At 35.8% G+C, this 24,309-nt stretch overlaps 1 annotated feature.

Annotated features, from left to right (window-relative positions):
* Nucleotides 5,360-5,569: an enhancer, noted in NCBI's record as "active region_16597". NCBI's record gives its function as "activates an Ori minimal core promoter by ATAC-STARR-seq in GM12878 lymphoblastoid cells {active_cell/tissue: GM12878}" and the evidence as "EXISTENCE:reporter gene assay evidence [ECO:0000049][PMID:35858748]".

Below are 24,309 nucleotides of genomic sequence, written 5' to 3' on the forward strand. Positions count from 1 at the left end.
ACCTCTATGCACATAAACTAGAAAATCTAGCAAAAAAATTGATAAATTGCTGGACACATACACCCTCCCAAGACTGAAACAGGAAGAAATTGAATCCTTGAGCAGACCAATAATGAGTTCTGAAATTGAGGCAGTAATACATAGCCTACCTACAAAAAAAAAAGCCCAGTACCAGACAGCTTTCACACTTGAATTCTACCAGATGTACAAAGAAGAGCTGGTACCATTACTACTGAAACTATTGCAAAAATATTGAAAAGGAGGGACTCCTCTCTAACTCATTCAATGAGACCAGCATCATCCTGATACCAAAACCTGGCAGAAATAAAACAACAACAACAACAAAACTTCAGGCCAATAGCCTTGATGAACATCGATACAAAATTGTCAACAAAAAACTGGCAAACCGAATCCAGCAGTACATCAAAAAGCTTATCCACTACGATCAAGTTGGCTTCATCTCCAGGATGCAAGGTTGGTTCACATATGCACATCAGGAAATGTGATTCATCACATAAACAGAAATAAAGACAAAAACCACACGATTATCTCAATAGATGTAGAAAAGGCTTTCAATAAAATTCAACATTCCTTCATGTTAAAAACTCTCAATATACTAGATATTGAAGGAACATACCTCAAAATGTTAAGAGCTATCTATGACAAACCCACAGGCAACATCATACTGAATGGGCAAAAGCTAGAGACATTCCCCTTGAAAACCGGCACAAGACAAGGATGCCTTTCTTACTACTCCTATTCAACATAGTACTGGACGTTCCAGCCAGAGCAATCAGGCAAGAGAAAGAAATAAAGCGCACTCAAAAAGGAAGAGAGGGAGTCAAACTATCCATGTTTGCAGGTGACATGATCCTATATCTAGAAAACCCCATCATCTTAGCCCAAAACCTTCTTAAGCTGATAAGCAACTTTAGCAAAGGCTCAGGATATAAAAATCAATATGCAAAAATCACTAGCATCCTATACACGAACAGCAGTCAAGCGAAGAGCTAAAATGAATTTCCATTCACAATTTCCATAAAAAGCATAAAATACCAAGAAGTACAGTTAACTAGGGAGTTGAAAGATCTCTACAAGAAGAGCTACAAACCACTGCTCAAAGAAATCAGAGATGACACAAACATATGGAAAATCATTCTATGTTAATGGATAGGAAGAATCAGTATCGTGAAAATGGCCATACTGCCCAAAGCAATTTATAGATTCAATGCTATTCCCACTAAACTATCATTTACATTCTTTACAGAACTGGAAAAACCTATTTTAGCATTCTTATGGAACCAAAAAAGAGCCCAAAAAAGAGCCCAAAGCATCACATTACCCAACTCCAGACCATGCTACAGGGCTACAGTAACCAAAACAGTATGGTACTGGTACAAGAACAGACATATAGACCAACGGAACAGAATACAGAACTCAGAAATAAGGCCACACACCTACAACTATCTGATCTTCAACACACCTGACAAAAACAAGCAATGGGGAAAGGATTCCCTATTTAATAAGTGGCGCTGGGATAACTGTCTAGCCATATGCAGAAGATTGAAACTGTGACCCTTCCTTACACCATATACAGCATCAACTCAAGATGGGTTAAAGACTTAAGTGTAAAACCCAGAAGTATACAAATCCTGGAAGACAACCTAGGCAATACCATTAAGGACATAGGCACGGGCAAAAGTTTTATGACTAAGACGCCAAAAGCAATTGTAACAAAAGCAAAAATTAACAAACGGGATCTATTTAAACTAAAGAGCTTCTGCACAGCAAAATAAAATATGAACAGAGTAAGCAAACAATTTACAGACTGGGAGAAAATTTTTGCAAACTATGCATCTGACTAAAGTCTAATAATCAGCATCTATAAGGAACTTAAATTTACGAAAACAAAAAAAAAACATTAAAAAGTGGGCAAATGATATGAACAGACACTTTTCAAAAGAAGACATACATGTGGCCAGCAATCAAATGAAAAAAAAAAAAAAACTCAACATCACTGATCATTAGTGAAATGCAAATTAAAACCACAATGAGGTTGGACGCAGTGGCTCACATCTGTAATCACAACACTTTGGGAAATCAAAGAGGGCAAATCAATTAAGGTTGGGAGTTCAAGACCAGCTTCGCTAACATGGCAAAATCTCATTTCTACTAAAAATACAAAAATTAGCCAGGCATGGTGGTGTGCACCTGTAATTCCAGCTACTCAGGAGGCTGAGGCACGATAATCACTTGAATCCACGTGGCAGAAGTTGCCGTGAGCAGATAGTTCCACTGCACTCCAGCCTGGGCGACAGAGAGAGACTCTGTCTCAAAAACAAACAAACAAACACTGTGAGATACCATCTAACACCAGTGAGAATGACTATTATTAAAAAGTCAAAAAATAACAGATGTTGGCAAGGTTGTAGAGAAAAAGGAATGCTCATACACTGTTGGTGGGAGTGTTAATTAGCTCAGCTATGGTGGAAGACAGTGTAGTGATTTCCCAAAGAACTAAAGACAGAAATACCATTCGATCCAGCAATCCCATTACTGTATATATATATCCAAAGGAGTATAAATCATTCTATTATAAAGACACATGCACGTATATGTTCATTGCAGCACTATTCACAATAGCAAAGACATGGATCAACCTAAATGTCCGTTAGTAATAGACTAGATAGAGAAAATATAGTACATATACACTATGGAATATTATGCAATCATAAAAAGGAATGAGATCATGTCCTTTGCAAGGACATGGATGCAGCTGGAGGCCATTATCCTTAGCAAAGTAACACAGGAACAGAAAACCAAATATCACACATTCACACTTATAAAGTGGGAACTAAATGATGAGAGCTCATGGACACATGGAGAGGAACAACACACAATGGGGACTTTTGGATGGAGATGAAAGGAGAGAGAGGAACAGGAGAAACAACTAATGGCTACTAGGTTAATACCTGGATGATGAAATAATCTGTACAACAAATCCGCACGACACAAGTCTACCTATGTAACAAATGGGCACTTATATCCCTGAGCTTAAAATAAAGTTAAAAAAATCAAAAAATTAAGTGTACATGCTTATGACAAAGTAAGACCCCTTGCCAAGAATCTCTTGAAAATCATCCCAAAGAGACACATACAAGCATTTTTTTATCACGACATTGTTTACAACATGTAAAATTTCAAAGCAATTGAAATGTCTAATAGAAGAATATGAGCAAATAAAATTAAATCTGTTCCTACAATTAAATACTATATGTTACTTGTAAGAAATAAATTACATCAATATATAACCGTAGATTTCAAAAAAGAATATTGAGAGAAACGTGATTTCTAGAAAGTATATAAAAATGACTACATTCACTAATATAAAAAACATATCAAAAATAATGGGAAAATTAAAATGTAGGCAGCAGTACTTTTAAAAGAACTAGAAGGCTATTAACTTAATATATGCCAGTGGTGACTTCAGAGAAAGACAAGGCAACTGGCTGTAGAGAATAAGAGAAATTCTAACTTTACAGTATTTATATACAAAAATTAAAGCAAATACAATAAATGAATACTGTCAATATTAGGTTTTGGTTGTATGGGTGTTTATTATAAAATCTGCATTTTGAGTTTGCTGCATTTTTTATTTGCCTGTGTTTTTTAATTAAAAAATAAAAGCATATTAACATCATCTCATTATAGGTCTATAATTTCTACCCTTTGATTGTTTTTCTTGTTGTTTTTGGTTGTTTTTTATCCTGACAAAGAAAAGTCATATATAAATGCAAGGGTCAACAGTACATCAGTTCACCTCCCTAAACCTTGAGGGATAGGATTAGATGATTTCTTAGTTCCCTCCTAGCAATATGATGCTATGAAATCCTGCAGGAAGCAGCATATTTCTTTCACTACAAGGAGAGCCTCTCTCAAACAATTAATAATAGGTTTTTTTTCCTTGTGGTAAGCTCCTTTATTTTTATTATCTTCATATAATACCTGACCTGTCTGTGTATGCCAAATACTGCTGTGAAAATGAAAAGACCCTTCTAAGTGCGTAGCATCCTTATAGGATTCATGGATGTGGAGGTGTTTAAATACTACCAGAATTGCATTGGAATAAATAATGTTCACCTTGACTGTGTTTAGAAAGTAGAATTGTTTTGTCAGCACTCTAGGTAAGTATTTGAGTGAAAGAAAGCTTAAAGTTGAGGAACAGCTCAATAAACAATGCGCAAATGAAACAAAAACAGAAAAAACAAAAACAAAAACAATCAGAATCTAAATTAACTCCTTATTCAAGAACTTGTGGGAAATGCAAAGAACCATTCTTAGGTGTAAAATGCTTGACTTAAAATGAACAGATGAATTAAATGATTGGAGTGAAGAAGAATCACATGGGAAAAAGAATGATCCAGTGTTAACATTACTTCTCGAGAGAGTATGACATGGTGCTCAAGAGAGAGATTTTTATTGCAAAGGAACATGAATGAGACTTTGAGGTGCTATGAATATTCTGTACTTGATGCAAGTATAAATTATATGGGTATTTGCCTTATAATGATTTGGTAAATTATATGATTATGAACTATCCTATATAAAATCTTTATAGATAGATATGCATATATATGTATATACAAAGTCATATATGACTTTGTCATATGTGAAAGTATATACACAGATATATCTAAAGTACATACATAGATATATCTAACTGTAGAGTGAAAATTTTAAAAAGCATGTTTCCTTCACAGGTTGTCAAATGTTAAAAAAGAAAATGAAAAATTTGATGAAGTAGAAAAACAAGGTGAATGGCCACACATTGCGGGTTAGAATATAAATTGGTATAACCAATTTGGGACAATTATTTGGCATCGTTTTAATAAAATGGAAAATGTATGTTGATTTCAACCCAGCAATTTCTCCCAGATTCTTACACTTGTGCACCCTCCCATTGTGCAGCCTCATCTCTGAGTGTCCAAAGTAAACTGCCCTTCATGTCATTGGATTTTAGTAACCTGACACTGGAGAGGAGGCAGATGGAGTAATAAGGGAAAAGTTAAAAATAACAATATCTGAGTCTCAGCTGTAGATCCATAAGTGCTTGGTTATATTTTAATGGCTAATTTACTTGCATTCATCTTCCACTTCACTGAGCCAGGAATTAGGTCTATGTAACAATCATATCTTTCATGTCTATAATATGTATAGTACATAATAAGTTTTTAGTAAATTATGTATAAAATTCTGAAAAAATATTGAGAGAAGAAGCATGAAGGAACATGGGCACAGTGTGGCTTTAACTCATTGTGGCCTCAAGGGAGCAGTGTTTCTGAGGAATTAGGACAACAGTGGTGATGGAGGTGGAGAGGGAAAGTCCCTGCCGTGAGTATCTGGCTCATGGTGAATCCCAGGAGATTGGTGATGACTTCATGTAACTTCTCAGACAGGAGAGGACTTAGCATTGATACCCTTGAGTGGCACTGGAGCAGATAAAGCACCACGGCCTTGAACTGGAGAAGCGAGCACAGGAGACAGCTGCTGGAGATATGACTGAAGGGGAACTTGCAGCTGGGTATGAGACCAGAATAGGCAGAAAATGCAAGGGCAGCAAAGAGACAGGTTATTTAAGTATAAAGGCAACGTGTGATTTTATAATGCAAAAATGCATCTAAATAATATAAAGTAATTTTCTTTAATAAACAAAGTCTGAAATAAGCCCTCACTAAAATATTTTAGAGATATATTGCTATGCTTTAACGTAATGCACTGAACATAATTTAAGCTATTTTAATAATCCAAGGAATTCATTTTAAAATATTATTTACTCTATTTTATTATTTTCATTCCCATAGTAAATATTGAAATAGTGTTACACCTTTTAAACTAAATGGCCTGAGATGACCTAGATACGTAGGCCTTTAAAATTTTTGTACTAATTTTGTCCAGTTTTATGTGCCGCTATTAACTGACAGCTACTTGTTCTTTCTTCTATCTTTGGGAACTCGCACACATTTTTTTGGTCCTCCCCCACCTCCTAATGTATATCTAATTATATTATTTAATCTTTCTAATCTCTTACAGACTATGAAATCAAATATATCATATATTTGTTATAAATTTTCAATAGTAGAAAAAATAATGATTTAAATAAGAGATAAAATGGCTCCTTTTTCAGAATCAGCAATAGTATGACAGGTATATGAAAAGGTGTTCAGTGTCTCTAATCATCAGGAAAATGCAAATCAATACCACAAAGAAGTATCACCTCACATCTGTCAAAATGCCTATTATCATAAAGGCAAAAGATAGATGTTGATGAGAGTGTGAAAAAAAGATAACCAACACTGTTGGTGGGAATATAAATTGATACGGCCATTATGGAAAACAGTATGAGGTTTCTCCAAAAATTAAAAGTAAGACTACCAGATGACTCTGTAATTCCCCTTCTGTGTAAATACCCCAAAGGAAATAAAATCAGCACCTTTGTACCAGGGGCAGGGCAATGTGGGGGAGGGAATCAGAAGATGTAGGTCAAAGATAGAAAGGTACAGTTATGTAGGATGAATAAATTTACAGACATAATTTTCAGCATAAGGAGTATGGTTAATACTATTTTATTGTATGCCGAAAATCTGCTGAGCAGAGTTCAGGTGCTCTTAATACAAAATAAAAGCATGCATGTGAGGAGACGGACACGTTAATATGTTTGACTGTAGCAATCATTTCATTGTGCATATGTTTATCAAAACATCATGTGGGTATGCCTTCAGTATATACTATATAAAATTTTAGTAAAAGTAACAGCTATGGTATTCCCCTTCCTGTGTCCATGTGATCTCATTGTTCAAGTCCCACCTATGAGTGAGAACATGCAGTGTTTGGTTTTTTGTCCTTGCGATAGTTTGCTGAGAATGATGGTTTCCAGCTTCATCCGTGTCCCTACAAAGGACATGAACTCATCATTTTTTGTGGCTGCATATATTCCATGGTGTATATGTGCCACATTTTCTTAATCCAGTCTATCATTGTTGGACATGTGGGTTGGTTCCAAGTCTTTGCTGCACTGTTGTGGGGTGGGGGGAGGGGGGAGGGATAGCATTAGGAGATATACCCAATGCTAAATGACGAGTTAATGGGTGCAGCACACCAACATGGCACATGTATACATATGTAACAAACCTTCACGTTGTGCACATATACCCTAAAACTTAAAGTATAATAATAATAAAATTTAAAAAAATAAAAAATAAAAAATAAAGAGGCATGGAAAAAAAATAACAGCTAGAATTTATTAAACACTTATTAAGTGCCAGGCACTGTTCCAAGTTTTTCATATGTGTTCTTGAACTTAATCTTCCCAATAAACCTTAGGTATTATTTCCATTCTCACTTTTCAGATAATGACACTGAAGAACCAAAAAGTGAAGTTACTAGGTCAACATTACACATATGGTAAGTGTGTTTCAAACTTGAACAGTCTTGATCCAGTGTCTTGAATGGCTTTCTTCTCTTTTATAAATAAAATATAGGAGCTGAGTACAGCATCTCCCAACTGTTCTAATTATGAGGGTTTTTTTTTCAGAATTTTTAAAAGTTTACTATGATAAGAACTGCATTTATGAATCTTTTACTAAGAAAATATGTAACTGTAATATAAAGACTCCAAGGTCATAACCAATTTACACCTCTCTGGAAACAGAAGTTACTAAGCTATAACAATGCAAATCCTCATCTTAAGATAGTCTGAAATCTTACTGTATTCCATAATTAAACTCTACATTGCCAAGGACATACACTCTCTCAGTCTTATTCTGTCTGTTTTACTGAAAGAGTGACATGCCCTCTTCTTAGTGAAGTAAGGCAGCAGGTCTGACTGGTGTACCTAAGCTGAATGATGGAATTAAAGCCGAATTTCCATCACTTGAGGTATTTTGGTTACTCTTTAACCCCTCTGTGAGCCCTGAGTTCTCTTGAGATAAAGATCTGCTTGCCATTTTAATGCCAGATGATGTCCGCACGTCCGGAAGTGATGAGTACGACTTTATAATCACTTTTTCCCACCATAGTACCATGTGACACAGCAATCTCCCTTCTGAATGTGTACCCCAAAGGAAATAAAATCAGCATGTTGTACAGATATCCGTGCTCCCATGTTCATTGCATCATTATTCATAATAGCCGAGCTATGGAAACAACCTAAGTCTCTGTCCAGAACTAGTAGATAAAGAAAGAATAAAAGAAAAATGAACGAATTTTAGAATCACATTTGACCCAGAGACGTAATATTTCCCTTTCTGTTCCCAACATCACATTCTGACTTGTTAATGTCAGAAATTAGAGCTCAAAAATCATAGGTATCAAACAGTAAGCATGAACTTCTATGACTTTGTGTACATAGATGCTTTAAAAAGACAGCAAGGCTATTGCAAGTTTTGGGTTTCTTAGGATACTAAAGATTCAATTATAAACTATAAACCGTTGAAAACAATTCATTTCCTTGGAAGTAGAATACAAAATGCAAGATTAATTTTAATTATCTAAAAAATATCTTTATTCTATAATGTCTTTCTTGTGACTATCTAAACAAGAATTTTAAAAGTACCTGGAGTACAGAGACACAAAGAAGACAATTTAATAATATCTATTGTATTCAATAGATATTATTTTGTTAACACAAAATAAGAGTTATAATTAGCTTGATCAACTCACTTAATATTCTTTTATTCCCTAATTTTATTGTAGATTTATCTTCCCACGTGCTTTCATAAAATGTGGACTATGAAAAGTATAAGAAAACCTACATATACACTTGTATTTTCAGATCTCAAAAATATTTGCTTTAGAAGTATCTCTAGCTACCGTGTCAATGAGCCTTATGTGTTACATAAACATACAATTTGAAATAATTCTGAGAAGATTTGAAAGCCCATCAACAACTGTAATACTTTTGGGTAATTTTGTTTTTAAAAGAAAAGGTCTTTAAAAACCTTTATTTGTGAAAGTAGTAATAGTCACTCCCACAGAAGAGCCATTAGCGAAGATGCCATTGAATGTACAAAATAGCTTCAATTATAGCCACCATAATATGTGACCTGGAGATACAGCATAAATGATCTTTTAAAAAGAGGAAGGAAGACTATAACAAGCACATCCCTGGCTCAGAGTTGGAGTCAATATTATGGTATTCTCATATGTAGTAAATATGGGGTCGATTGTCTGTGTATCACTCAGTAATTGAGGTTAGGTAATATCTTGCAAATAAAAAGCTCCTTTTTAACACAAATTCAGAAACAGAGTTCACACAACTCATGCTTCACAGTAATAATCAGAGGGCTGCCTTGTGGAGGTCAAGTCTGTTGCACTGAGTGGATGAAAATATCTCAGAAGTATAGCTAATTTTTGAAATAAATGTTTCAACCAATGATCAATTTAAGTAGCCAAATATATATTTCTGTATTTATAGTTGTCACAGCAAAATTCTGTTCAATGCATACAGATGTCTGTATTTTGTATTTATACGGCATATATAAGCTGAAGAGCTGAAAATGCTTGCTGTCTCTCACCTAACTTAGCCTCACAAATACGTTAAATGCAAGTATTTTGCAGTTTGGCAAACAAAATACACAGAAAAGGTAAGTTATTTCTATGAAGTCACACAATAAGACAAAGGAAGAATCAAGGCTTGTAACACAGTTAACTCTCCAAAGCACCACCTCATCCACATTTGCAACTAACACTGCAACATGCACACACACACACACACACACACCCACAAGTGCAATGGAAAACAGTGTAAATTGCCTAAAGAAGTTTAAATGTGAATATAGGTTATTCCTTAACACAGATGGTCATATTGCTTTATTAAACAATAATCTGAAGTTCACAGGTTATCATTGGATCAGCTCTTTTACCTGCCTCTCAGAATATGACCACATAATGTTAGATAAAGACAAACATTAAAGAATAGCTGCATCTCAATGGTTTCCATTTTTCCTCTACACTTATCTGATGTATATGTTTGTATATTATTTAAAGAGTATGAGGCATATTTAAACACTATGAACATTTAACAAAATTGTCCTTTCAGAAATCCGAGTTATTATTAATTCAAACCTCCATCTAAGATTACCTTTAGCAAAATTATAATAAAAGTCAAGTCCCTCTTGAAAATGAACCTTGAGAGTTTTCTAATTTATCCATTCTTTATTGTTACCAAACAATATAAAATAATGTTTATTACAACAATAGAATACAACTGCCTGTTGACTGCATTTGGCTTTGACAACTGAACATGTTGCAAGAGAATTCACAAAGTTTTTGGAACTCATTGCTCCCAATTTAATCTCATTCTGGCCACTCAGGAGAATATAACTACCCAAAGAATGAAAGTGACAGCCAGGAGTACTTCAGAATCATGGTGTCAGTGGAAATGCATCACCAGGAGCTCCACTTAGTTACCAATTGATAGCAAGGTTGGATCAGTGACACAGTGGGCACGTTGCCTAACCCGGCTGGCTACTCTAGAATAAACCTAGGTCCTCCTTGGGAAGAGAAGGGGTGGTTTGACTGCCTCCAGCAGTATCATTGGCTTAAAAGTTTTTAAACATCTATTATAGATTCTTGTTTCTAATCTTGAGCAAATTTCACCTTTAAGCTATATATTTTCTTTCATGTTTATAAGGCTAACAACTTAACTATGCCCAAATACTAATATATTCTACTTTCCTTGTTTAATTGTTCTTTAAAAACATCCTGTTTGCTATATGAAGTGATCAGAGACATAGGGTTTGTGAATAAGTAGCTAGACATCCTCCCGATTAACTTTTCTGGGCCTTAGAATGCTAAATGATAAAATGATTTATCCTCAATTTTACCTCTAGTCTATTTTTGCTCTAATATTCTTTAGTTGTGTGATCTCACCCTCTGCCCTTGCTCTTCCCCAAGTCCGCTCCAAGTCATATATGTTAGCTTTTATTCTCTTTTCTTTTCATTTTAGAAATAAACTAAAGCTGTTAATAGACCTTTGGTCCTTATTCTCAGTGCATCCAAGCAATATATATATATACACATATATATATAAACATATATATATATATATACATATACACACACACACGTATATATATATATATACACCTTTGGATACAAAGATGGTTAAAAAACTTCCTTTTCTCCTCACCATTTTTTCTCTACTCCGTTTAGGATAGTGTTTCATTATGTTTCAATCTCATTTGCAAATATGAATTTAACTAAACTCTTTATAAGAAGCATTGTGCTGGATTCTGAGAAGATTAATAACAATGAAATATAAAATACATGCTCAAAATACATTTTTGCTGTCAAGGATTTTGCAACCTATTTGGGAAAATGAAGGAGAATAAGCACGGAATGAAGTTATTAAAATAACAATATAAGACAGGCTATGTATACCATGGTTCAAAGTGAGTGGGCACTGAATAGAAAATAATAAAGGAGACTCAATATCATGGACACTGAAGGGATTCAGGAGAAGAAGATAGTAGGATAGAGGAGTCTTGAAGCATGACAAATAGAAGCAAAATAGTTGTATATATTTACCATTTTAGATACTGGCAATAGATAAGTGCTCATACTCTGCGTCCTTGTCAGCACTTGATACTATCCAATTTTTAAATTTGGGAGGGATTCAATAGGTGAGACATGGTGTCTATTATAGTCTCCATTCACATTTGTCCATTCGTTACGATGTTGAACTCATTGATCTGTTTATGAGCACTTATATAAAAATCCAAATGGTTTCTTTTGCCTGTTTTTCTGTTGATGTTCCTATAATATGTAGTACTTTCATATTATAAAGTTGAGGTATTCTCTTATGGTACATGAACTAATGGGATATTGTAAGTCAGTGAATCATCTTTCTTTGCAGTTAGCTGCATGGTCAACAGCTGAAGTGGTAGAAATGTTGTCATGGAGCATAGATCCTTCTGCATGCAGATTAAACACATTAGTTTTATATTGCAGTGCTACTTGAAATGCCAGCCCACAACAAGATCAGGAACTTGTGCCAGCATGTAAATCAAGTCACTGTTTTCTTCAACAAGAACTTCTTGCTATCAAAAAAAGTCAGCTCGGCCGGGCGCGGTGGCTCACGCCTGTAATCCCAGCACTTTGGGAGGCCGAGGCGGGCGGATCACGAGGTCAGGAGATCGAGACCATCCCGGCTAAAACGGTGAAACCCCGTCTCTACTAAAAATACAAAAAATTAGCCGGGCGTAGTGGCGGGCGCCTGTAGTCCCAGCTACTTGGGAGGCTGAGGCAGGAGAATGGCGTGAACCCGGGAGGCGGAGCTTGCAGTGAGCCGAGGTCCCGCCACTGCACTCCAGCCTGGGCGACAGAGCGAGACTCCGTCTCAAAAAAAAAAAAAAAAAAAAAAGTCAGCTCAACTAAATATCGTCCTTACTTCTATATCTGATTTACTTTTCAGCTCAAGTGCTTCATCTTACTGCAGACCAGTAACTAACAGAGAGTTCATAGCCAGCGCATGAACCACACTTTGCATAGATTGTTCTATAGGGCTCTGCATTTTTCTATGCATATTCAAGTCTCTCTCTTTCTCTCTCTCTATATATATAGTATTTATATATTTATGTGTATATGTGTATGCACACATATATGTATGTATTATGCATGCACATGTATAATACACACATGTGTGCATTATTTGTGTTTATATATGTCTACCTTGTTAATTTCATAATTCAAAATACAATCTACTGAAAAAATTAGCGCCTGTTTCATTTGCTTTGTATGACAGCTAATATTCTCCCACATATAAAAGCAATTCATAGTTGCTTTATGCATAATGGACACAATAAATAGTTGTTTTTTGACATATTATTTTATGATGATAATTATAATGATAAGTAGATTGGAGTTAATTCAGAGGATGCTTTAAGATTCAGCAAATAATCAATAGTATTTATTTGGTACTTACTAGACATTGGGTATTCTCATATGCACCGTAGGTAGTCAAATAAGATATGCCTAACTTGGATACAAGGAGTTAGATATGTGAAAAACAAGTTCAGTAAAGTGTTATGGATACCTAGAAAGATTCATTTACAGATACATTAGCAGTTCAGAAAATAAAATGATTGCTAGTAATCAGGGGAATTTGGAAAGGGCCGTGAAAAATCTTCCCAGAGGCAAAGATTTTTGGTAGATCTCAGATTTTTTTTTTGATGTGTCTTACCTTCTGTAATCACAGGAATATTGTAACTTGTACCTTAAAAATGTATTCCAGATCTTCCATATACAGATACTCCTTGACTTACTGATGATGGGGTTACGTCCCAATAAACCTATCATAAGTCAAAAGTGAACTTAATGCCCTGATAAACCCGTTGTGAAGTAGAAAAATCCTAAGTCAAAGCAACATAAATCCAGATGCTCCTCAATTTATAATGGAATTACATTTGTAAAGTTGAAACATCTTAAATTGAACCATCCTAAACCAGGGATCGTCTGCACTATTAACTCTGTATAGCAAACTGGACATCCATCTACTGGTCTCCTGGATGTAGTGTAAAAGTGTGTTATTCCCCTGATAAAGTGATAACTAAAATACCTGACCTACTTAAGTCATAGAACCCAAAAATAATTTTTAAAATTCAATAATGAAAATTTAAAGCCCAGCAGGATATAAGAATAAATTGATTCCATATTGTTTTAGTCTTGTATGTATTCCTGTTTTGTATCTGTTCACATTCTTATTCACTGGGGTTCAAGAAAAGTCGTCTGGTTTGTTTCTTTTGTTTTTATGTCTACATAACTTGACTCATCTTGAAGTCCTATCTTACCATGTCACAGAAGAATAATGAAGAACAATGATCACATACCTCTTCACAAACATGGAGAGCTCCACATTGCAGAATAATAATGTCATAATTTTGAAAATTGCTTTCTTAAAAATTCCTTTTCCTATGATTGCCTATTTCTTTTCTGACTGTGAGAGTATCTATATTTTTAATCTCTAATCAATTTCACTCTTCCTACTTTCATGGTTGTAAAGTACAAGTAAAATTCTTTAGTACATTTCACCTTTTATATTTTTTTTTCCAAAAATACTGATTACATCAGCCACCTTACTCAAAATGATTCTTTTGGGGGAACCTAATAAAATTCTAAGACCATTTCAGGCTTTCAGTCTTATATCATGTTTACTTCAGGTAAACATTTCTATGTAACCAGAAAATCCAAAGCTTTATAACAGAAGCAGTGCCTTCCACTGCTTCTGTCGTTCCTAACATTTTAGCTTTTAAGGAAAACTGGTATTTTAGAAACTGAGTTTGAAAATAGAAGCAGACTAAAGTAGAAAATTTAGACCTGTGGATCTGAAATGCCACATTCTAATAGATAATGCCAGGGCCCCAAGGATATTGCTAAAGGTTTGCTCTCCAATAATGAAAAGAAATTATATTTATATTCTAAAGCTTATTTTGCTCTTAATTTGTTTTGAAATGTTTAAAAGTTGTGTTCAATGGTCAGAGATATGTATCTTTAATTGTGGTAATCTACAAAAAGAAGATCTTTGAGTGAAACCCAAAATATTAAATTTAAATTTACACCAAATTTTGAAAAAATAATCGAAAGAAATAAAAGTTGGATTTTTGTTGGGGGGGGTGGATAAACATTATCATAATAACAGCGTGAAAAACTATTCTCTTTGGCTTACAAGCTTAATTATCACAATAATTGAGCTTCAGAAAGAAAAGTCTCAGATATCACTGATACTTTTTCAAATATAAATTACATATATTGCTATTATCTTTATGTTTAAGTTTTAAAAGGGTTTTGTGTTAAAAAAAAAGTGGAAAATTAGATGGCTCACAATTCAATGTATAGATATTTACCTGAAGCTTGAGCATTTTAGAATAGACTGCAATCAAATCCCTATGTCATTAAGACATCATCATAGTTTCTTTCAATTTCTATCAGTTACATTTCAATAAATTTATCCTAGAAACATATATGTAAATGTCAAAGACAAACTTATGAGGATACAGATACAGCACTTTTTATAATAGGAGAAACCTAGAAATATTCATCAAAAGGAAACTGATGAAAAAGCAAGTTGCAGCAAATTATAGCATTTTATTAAAAATGTTTATTATGTATCAAATGTTATAGGTATATATACTTGGGTGATTATATACCAGATTGTCATGTTGAAACATTCTTAGTAAAAAAGAATGGGAAATGCAAGGGATTTTCAGTACCTCTGAGTTTTCTTTGTACAGTTTTAATTTTACAATGCTTTTGTTTTGTGATTCTTTCAGAATCTTCCCCATCCCCAAAGCAATAAATATCATTTAAGATATTCACATAGGAGGCAGGCATGGAGCTCAAGCCTAGCCCTGTGTATGTAGGCTACAGAAGGTGGCCAAAAGGATGTCAGAGGTCTGCAGCCAGGTAATCAATTTGGAGATAGAGAAAAAATAAACACCAGAAATCAAGGTTAGGTGCTGGGTTAAATCTTGGCAGGGAGTCAAAACCGACAAGTTATCATCTGGGATGAGGTCAGAGGTTGAAAGAAGCAGACATGCAAGAGTCTGAAAGCACTGTGATATTAAATGACACTGCAATGTTATTATGGTCAAGTTTAGCAAGCAGCCAGAACCCAGATCCAATAAATCAAGGGGATGAAATTCACCTACTGATCAGAAACCATGAGACTAGAATATAAGGAAAATCAATGATTACAATATTTGGGTAAAAACTAAGAGGATAGGGTAACAGAAACCAAGATAGCCAGCTTGAGCAAAATAGGGTCAAGGAAAATAAAATGCACACTTCATTTGGCAAACAGATACCTGTAAGTGGCAGTATCTTCTTTATCTGCCAGGAAGACTTTTTCACATGTTCTAATGAAATAGAAAGGAATACGAAGGTGTGGCTAGCCTAGGATATCAAGTAAAGACAGGTATGTAAAATTGGATAGGTGATGAGCAGTTTAACTGACAAAAATGGAGACTTGTCACATTCTACTCAAAAGCAGGAACTTCTCCATATTCTTACATGCAGTGCAGTCATTTGGGAGAATGGTAAGTATTTTTAAATTACCCTCTTTGGAGGCTAATTTAACTGCACTCTCCCATTTTGGCTACCTAAAAATATAGTCCTACAACATCCCACTTTCAGTTTGTTGAGTTTTTTTTTGTTTGCTTCCCCTTACATTTTTCCGAGGATGCAATCCTTTGTGCTTTGTTGTGTTTGCACAAGCCACTTTCTCGTCTCAAGAAGGTCATTTAAATTTTCAAGTTTATTCTCCAAGGACAGTTACCCCTTCCAACTTGATGTTATCCATGAACTTAAGGATTAAGAGCTTTACTTAATCATCCCAGTCATTCATAAAGATATAGTAATGGACCTAGGACAGAATCTGAAGCATCACTCAACAGCCACCCCCATCCCTCAGGGCAGCATCAACCGATTAATAACTACTCTTTGAGTGTGACCTTCCAAGCAGTTGCAGACCCATGCTTTAATAGCAGGATCTCAACTCTGCTTTGCTGCTCCCTAATTAATGTCATATGAGAGTGAATTAGGAGTCTGACTGAAATAAAGATCTTATATCTATTGCTTTCCTCTTAACCACAGGGTCTGTCACTCTGTCACAGAGGGAATTAGATTAGTCTGATCTGATTTGTTCTTCATAAAGACACATTTTTTAAAAAATCCCCCCTGAGAGCTCCTATATGTTTGCAAATTGAGAATTGGTGAATAGAGAGCACATAGCAGGCTTTGTGCTTCAAAAATTTACACTCTGGATACAGAGGTCCCTTAGCAACCAGAAGAATTAAATGCATTGTGACTTTTATTTTTAAGTACTAAGATCAATGTACAGCCATACATTTGCTCATCATTTTCCGTGACTTTCCACACAAAAGATATGAGTAAGCTTCAGTGTTCATTTATTTGCTATTTTATTTGCCTCACACATCTTATGCAGATGTGTGTAGAGGCTTAAGATCCATCCCCAGATTTAAAAATTGGTCAAAATCTCTGAAACAAGGCTAAGAGAGGATCAAGGATATGATTTAATAATAACCCAAAGGAGTAAGAAGTACAACATCTATGACAAGTTCACTGGGGCAACTCTCTTCCTGATTATACTTGAAAAAATTCTTCTCTGTATTTTATCTTAATTTTAAGAAAATCCTGTCAGGATGATTATGCCAAAAATATACAGCACTCTGAAGATCACTCACTGTTCGACATAGTTTGGATGTGTCCCTACCCAAAATCTCATCTTGAATTGTAATCCAAATTGTAATCCTCATGTGCTGGGGAAGGAACCTCGTGGGAGGTGATTAGGTCGTGGGGTCGGTTCTCCCATGCTGTTCTCATGATAGTGAGTTCTCATGATATCTGATGGTTTTTATAAGGGGCCTTTTTTCCCCCTCATTCTGCACTTCTCTCTCCTGCTGCCCTGTGAAGAGGTGCCTTGCACCATGACTGTAAGTTTCCTGAGGCCTCCCCAGCCATGCAGAACTGTGAGTCAATTAAAGCTCTTTTCTTGATAAATTACCCAGTCTCGGGTATTTCTTCATAGCAGCATGAGAACGGACTAATACACAACTAGAATCTCTACCACAAGTAATCTAGAAGATAAATATATTTTGTAGAGTTCTTAATCTTTCACTGTGTGCAAATTGACATATGTATGTACCTAAGTTATACCAAATTATCAAAATAATGTTTTTTCTTCAACATGTTCAAGTGAATAAAATAAAAAATGTGAAATATGATCAAGAAAAATTATTTATTAATCAGTAAATACTAAATTATTTATAAGAAACACAAATAAGACAGATTTTTTTATCCTTTCAGTAAATATCTGTTGAGCACCTAATATGTGTTAGGCACTCATGTAGGCCTTGGAGATACAGGGGAAACATATCAGACAAACTTTCCTGACCTCCCAGAGACTACATTGTAAGAGGAAGAAATAGACAAGAATCACATGAATGAGAAAATAAATATATTATGTAAGTTTCAGTAACTGATGTGGTAATTTAAATACGACTAATTGAAAAGGATTCTCTGAGCAAAGAATAAAGGAGGTGAAGGTGTGAAGCATATGGTTATCTGGGGAAGAATATTTTCAGGCAGAATAAAAACAAGGACTAAATTAAGATTGTTTTTGCTTTAATTTAATACAAGTGACCTGGACACTGCAGCCTCATATGTTGAGCTGATGAGGAAAAGATAAGAGTCACTGTATATATACAGATGCCAGTTAATTTTAAAATGAGGATATTACTTTTGACTACCCAGCATAGGTCACAAATATTTGCAGTAAAACTTAACCTATAATAAATTTATATGTATAAAGATAATCTTTTACAATTGAAAATTATTAATATTTTATAGAATAAATATTTTTTCAAAAGTTTTTAATGAAATTTATACATTAGAAAAACAACTCCCTGAATAGTATGGTCTTAATTTTAATAGTTACATTTTGAGAGGTTATGAGCAGGAAACATTTTCCTTATGGGTAGGCACACACACATACATATCTCCATTCAACATACACGTATGCATACTCCTGTACCACAAAAGTAATGGAATATTAAAGTTAACACTTGAAATTCAAAAATACTAACTCATTCACCTTTTATAATCTTAGAATATGTACCAGATAGCCAAGTAAGTAATTTGAAATAATTATGCTTTATATATTAAAGGGAACACATTTGTCTTATTTAGAACAGCTTAAATTCTAAAGCCTAATGAACTGAAAAATCACTCGACTTGATTGCCAAATGTGTGCTATCCTTTTTCACCTACTCTACTTTCCCCCTCAGAATTAAGCATACAAAGTTACCATTGGCACCTGTACAAAAGAAAATCTATAACGTAGGGCACTTTTCAAGGTGTTTCAACTTTAAAGGCTTAAAAACAGTGCAATTTTATGGAAAGTGAATGGTCTTATCCTTTTTACAATTTCAACGTCTGATTGAATCAACTCAAGCATTCAATCAATCATGCTACAGGTAAGGCCAGCTATAACATGACTAAATTGTCAGGTTAACCTTCTGTGGATGTAACTGGCATAATGTATTATCCAAATTGTATGAAAGGACATTGACATAAAGTACAGTTTAGAATTCAGAAAAAGATGGCTAAGATGATGTCCTCTTAGGTCATAGGGAGAATAGGATCAGAATATCGTAAGATAAGCCTGTAATTGACAAAGGAGATAGAAATTATGACCTCCAGTTAACACAGCAGACCAGGGCAAGGGAAACAATAATGTGGTAGGGCATGCCAGGTTGCATTAGCCACAGAGTGGCTTGTTCTCACTATAAATTACAGACACAAGGGAAAGTGCTTAATACTAATGAGATGATGCTTGATGACTCAAGTGATAGCAAGAGAAAATGTCATCACTCTGTTAATGCCATTCATTTTCCTGAGTAAGAAAAAAATACATGGTTGTAAGTTTATAAAAGTTTAGGCTCATTTGCAAAGGTAGAACTGTTACAGAAAATAAAATCATTTTATGGAAAACTTTAGACTTTTTGAGACTGACATGTTCCCAGACAGCCTTTTTCCCCAAACAAACTGTTCAGATGGACCTATTTATACATAATATCAGTGTTACAGTTGGGAAGAATGTACATGTAAGGTAATTAATGACAAAGAATTAGAGGAATAAATTTTCAAGTGTCATAATAGTTTCCATAAGGCAAAACTAAAGCAAGCCAAATTGGTCAATAGTTGGCACTATTTTTCACACCATGCTTTTTAAAAATACTGAAGGTGATAGTTACTGTTATAATTCTACTCTCCAAATTTTGAATTCTTAGACACACAACAAATTTCAGCGGAATCCACCTCTTTGTGATTAAATAGGCTGTCAATAATTGCCTATAAAATATTATTGCTGTAAGTGATCAATGATTACTGTCCATCTGACAGAAAAATTATGTGACAACAAGTCTCTCCTTATTCCTCAAAATCAATCCACAGAAGCAAAAATGTAAACTGTGTTCCTGTGAAATGGAAACATTTTCCATCATCACACTGATATGGGAGGGGGGACGGGGGGCGGGTCCTTGGCGAGGGCTCCACCCGGGGACCTGTGCCCAGGGACCTAGTTGAGGACAGCCATTCTTGCCTTCGTGCCCAAATGTTGCATTTTCCAAGACCACCCTGGCCCACCACTCTCTCATCCTGTGACTATAAAAACCCCCGAGACCCTAGTGGGCAGAGACACAAGTGGCTGGATGTGGAGAGGAACACATCGGTGGAAGAAGACACAAGCAGCTGGACGTCCAGAGGAACACTCCAGCGGAAGAGCACAGTGACAGGCGCCGACAGGCGCCGGCAGGCCATCGACTGGCGGAATGACAGGGAGTTTGGCTGGGGAGGTCAGAGGACAGCCCCACCGCTGGGCAGCCGGACTCCAGGGGAAAACACCTTCCTACTCCATCCTCCTTCTGGCCTCCCCATCCACCTCGCTGAGAGCCACCACCACTCAATACAAATTCTGGCACTCATTCCAAGCCCATGTGTGATCCGATTTTTTTCCAATACACTCAGGCAAGAACCTGTGATACAAAAAGCCCTCTGTCCTTGCGATAAGGCAGAAGGTCTAACTGAGCTGATTAACACAAGCCGCCTGCAGATGGCTAAACGGAAAGAGCACACTGTAACACACGCCCACGGGGGCTTCAGCTGTAAACATTCACCCCTAGACTCTGCTTTGGAGTCAAAGCCCCACAGCCTGCCTGCCTGCCTGCATGCGCCCCCTACAGGTTCGAGCAGCAGGGCACTGAAGAAGTGAGTCATACCACAATCGCACGCCCTGCAAGGGAGACAAGGGAACTTTTCCCATTTCAATATTAAGCAGTTATACTTGGTAGCTTGGCACTGGTTATCAAATAATGCACTATGATATGCTGAAGACAGAGGAAAAAATATCTACTGAGGACAGGATAAGAGCCTGCCTTCTTTTCTCTTAGATCAGTGGTAATTTTGCAGTTAAAGAAGATGTTAAAATATTGTTTTTAGAATAATGAGTCTAGGAAACACAAGATAGCATATCTTTCTTTCTTTTTTTTTTTTTTTTGAGACGGAGTCTCACTCTATCGTCAGGCTGGAGTGCAGTGGCACAGTCTTGGCTCACTGCAACCTCTGACTCCGGGTTCAAGCGATTCTCCTGCCTCAGCCTCCTGAGTAGCTGGGATTAACAAACGCGCGCCACCAAGCCCAGCTAATGTTTGTATTTTTAGTACATATGGGGTTTCTCCATGTTGGCCAGAATGGTCTAGCTCTCTCTACCTTGTGATCTACCCCCCTTGGCCTCCCAAGCCATATCTTTCTTACAGTGTATAACTTCTGTTTTCTGTACCTAAACTTCTTGTTAGCATGAAACGTGTTATATGATTGTCTACATTTATTATTCCAGACAATATGCATATTTCATTTAAAATTAGTTTTTTGGCAAGTGTAGTGGCTCACACCTGTAATCCCAGCATTTTTGGAGGCCAAGGTGGGAGGATCATTTGAGCCTAGGAGATAGAGGCTGCAGTGGACCATATTCACACCACTTCATTCTAGCCTGGGCCACAGAGTGAGACACTGTCTCATAAGTAAATACATAAATACATACATACATAGATAAAGTTAGTTTTTCTTTTGGAAGGTAGGTGATAAGAAGTGGAGAGAAATAAGGAAGGAAGCTGCATTATTAATCTTCTTATATTAAGCTCTAAGGAATATCCACATTTTTATTCAATCATCATAAATAAATATAAAAGCACAAATAAGTGTTCTAACATACTTTAATATTGGATCTATTGTTTCAAATTCTACTTGAAAATATATAAAAATAGAAAAAAAGAAACCTATTTGATTTTATCAAATACTTTGTAATTCACATGAGTCCTGGTTAGATAACTTGCCTAGTGGATAATGCTAATATTTGACTTGAATATATCATGAATTTTGCTCCCATAAAGGTAAGTATGTATATGATTTCTATTAAAAATATTTCAGCTCCCTTCCCATACACTTGTTATAATCCTATTCAGCAGAGAGATAATGGAAATTAATTTAAATATCAGTTATTTAGTTATCCCCCATTGTGAAAATGTGTGATAGAGAAACTTGGAGATAACTTCAAAAAGGCAATATCTTGAAAAGAAAGACTTCAAATGCTGAAATGCCAAGTACAATTTTTTTGCCACACGGTAGGTTATTATTAAATTTGTCTTTATTAAGCAACAACAACAAAAAGTAAAAAATATGTAGCTATTGATATGGTTTGACAATGCATCCCCACCCACATCTCACCTCAAGTTGTAATAATCCCCACATGTCATCGGAGGGACCAGGTAGGAGGTAACTGAATCATGGGGTTGGGTTTTTCCCATGCTATTCTCATGACTGTTAATAAGTCTCACGAGATCTGATGGTTTTATAATGGGGAGTTCCCCTGCACACGCTCTCTTGCCTGCCACCATTTAAGATGTGACTTTGCTCCTCTTTCACCTCCCGCCATGATTGTAAGGCCTCCCCAGTTATGTGGAACTGTGAGTCGATTAAACTCTTTCCTTTATTAACTACTCAGTCTTAGGTATGTCTTTATTAGCAGCGTGAGGACAGATTAATACAGCTATGTACTTCATGTAATGGTACATTCCCAACCCTCCCATTCAACTAGCAGGTTACAAATAGGTGGTATACCAGTACCCTTCCCATAGAAGTTCCACCAATTCAACCAATCCTCTTTGATTTCTGGAAATGTCTGATGAATAAAGTACTGACCTATGCATGGTCTGGAATGAACCTTAATCTGAGATGAAATTCTGAAATGACCCAGGCACCTATAAAGGTAAATGTATTTACATTGCAACCAACTTAAAGTAATAGTCTGGGCTGTTGGGGGCCACAGCACCATATTGAGATGTAGTAGATCTGTTGTACTTACTTCTTTGAAGATTTATGATTTTTCCTTTTTGTAGAATATTGCTTATAATTGTCCCATGAAATTTTGCCAAAGTCTTTAAACTTCTAAGAAAAATCAGTATTTTCAGAGCTAAGTGTTTTTTATTATATGTGGGGAAGCATGGTCAAACTAAAATTTCAACATCCTTCATGGTAGGTATACAAATTACACTTGATTCAAATGCTCAGGTATAAAATTTTAGCCCATGTCAATGAATGATGACTAGATTGTTCTCATCAGCATCTGACTCAATGTTTCCCTCTTAAAATAATTATTTGTGTTACATGCCTTTCACTAGGCAGAAATCAAATACATGGATGATATTATATGCCTAGACATGTAATTTTAAAAAATCAAAATATTTCACTTATGATAAAACAAAAAAGAAAAGTAGTTTACAAGAAAACAATAGATATCTTAATATGTAATTTTTATTTTTATTTTTTGAGATGGAATCTCACTCTGTCACCCAGGCTGGAGTGCAGTGGCACTATCTCAGCTCACTGTAACCTTCACCTCCCAGATTGAAGCGATTCTCCAGCCTCAGCCTCCTGAACAGCTGGGACTACAGGCACGTGCCACCATGCCCGGCTAATTTTTTGTATTTTTAGTAAAGACGGGGTTTCACCACGTTAGCCAGGATGGTCTCCATCTCCTGACCTCGTGATCTTCCCGCCTCAGCCTCCCAAAGTGCTGAGATTATAGGTGTGAGCCACTGTGCCCGGTCTCTTAATATGTAAATTTTTAAGTGCCTGTATTAGTCCATTTCCATGCTGCTGATAAAGACATACCCAAGACTGAGCAATTAATAAAAGAAAGAGGTTTATTGGACTTACAGTTCCACATGGATGGGGAGGTCTCACAATCACGGTGGAAGGCAAGGAGGAGTAAGTCATATCTTATATGGATGGCAGCAGGCAAAGAGAGAGCTTGTGCAGGGAAACTCCCATTTTTAAAAGCATCAGATCTCCTGAGACCCATTCACTATCATGAGAACAGCATGGGAAAGACCTGCCTCCATGATTCAATAATCTCCAGGTCTCTCCTACAATACGTGGGAATTATGAGAACTACATTGTGAGATTTGGGTGGGGCCACAGACCCAAACCATATCAGTGCCTCTGTGTAGAAGTAGAAGCAATGTTCTGGCCCAGCTATCTAAAGTTACGATTAATGCAATCACTGTGGCTGCCAACTGATAGAAGCTGGCACTGACCATTCCTATGATATAAACAACATTGTCATAAGTAGCTAGGTTTTCTAAAACCATGATAAGCACTTTGACAACTTCTGAACAA

Source organism: Homo sapiens, chromosome 2, assembly GCF_000001405.40.
Source record: "Homo sapiens chromosome 2, GRCh38.p14 Primary Assembly".
Lineage (NCBI taxonomy): Eukaryota > Metazoa > Chordata > Mammalia > Primates > Hominidae > Homo > Homo sapiens.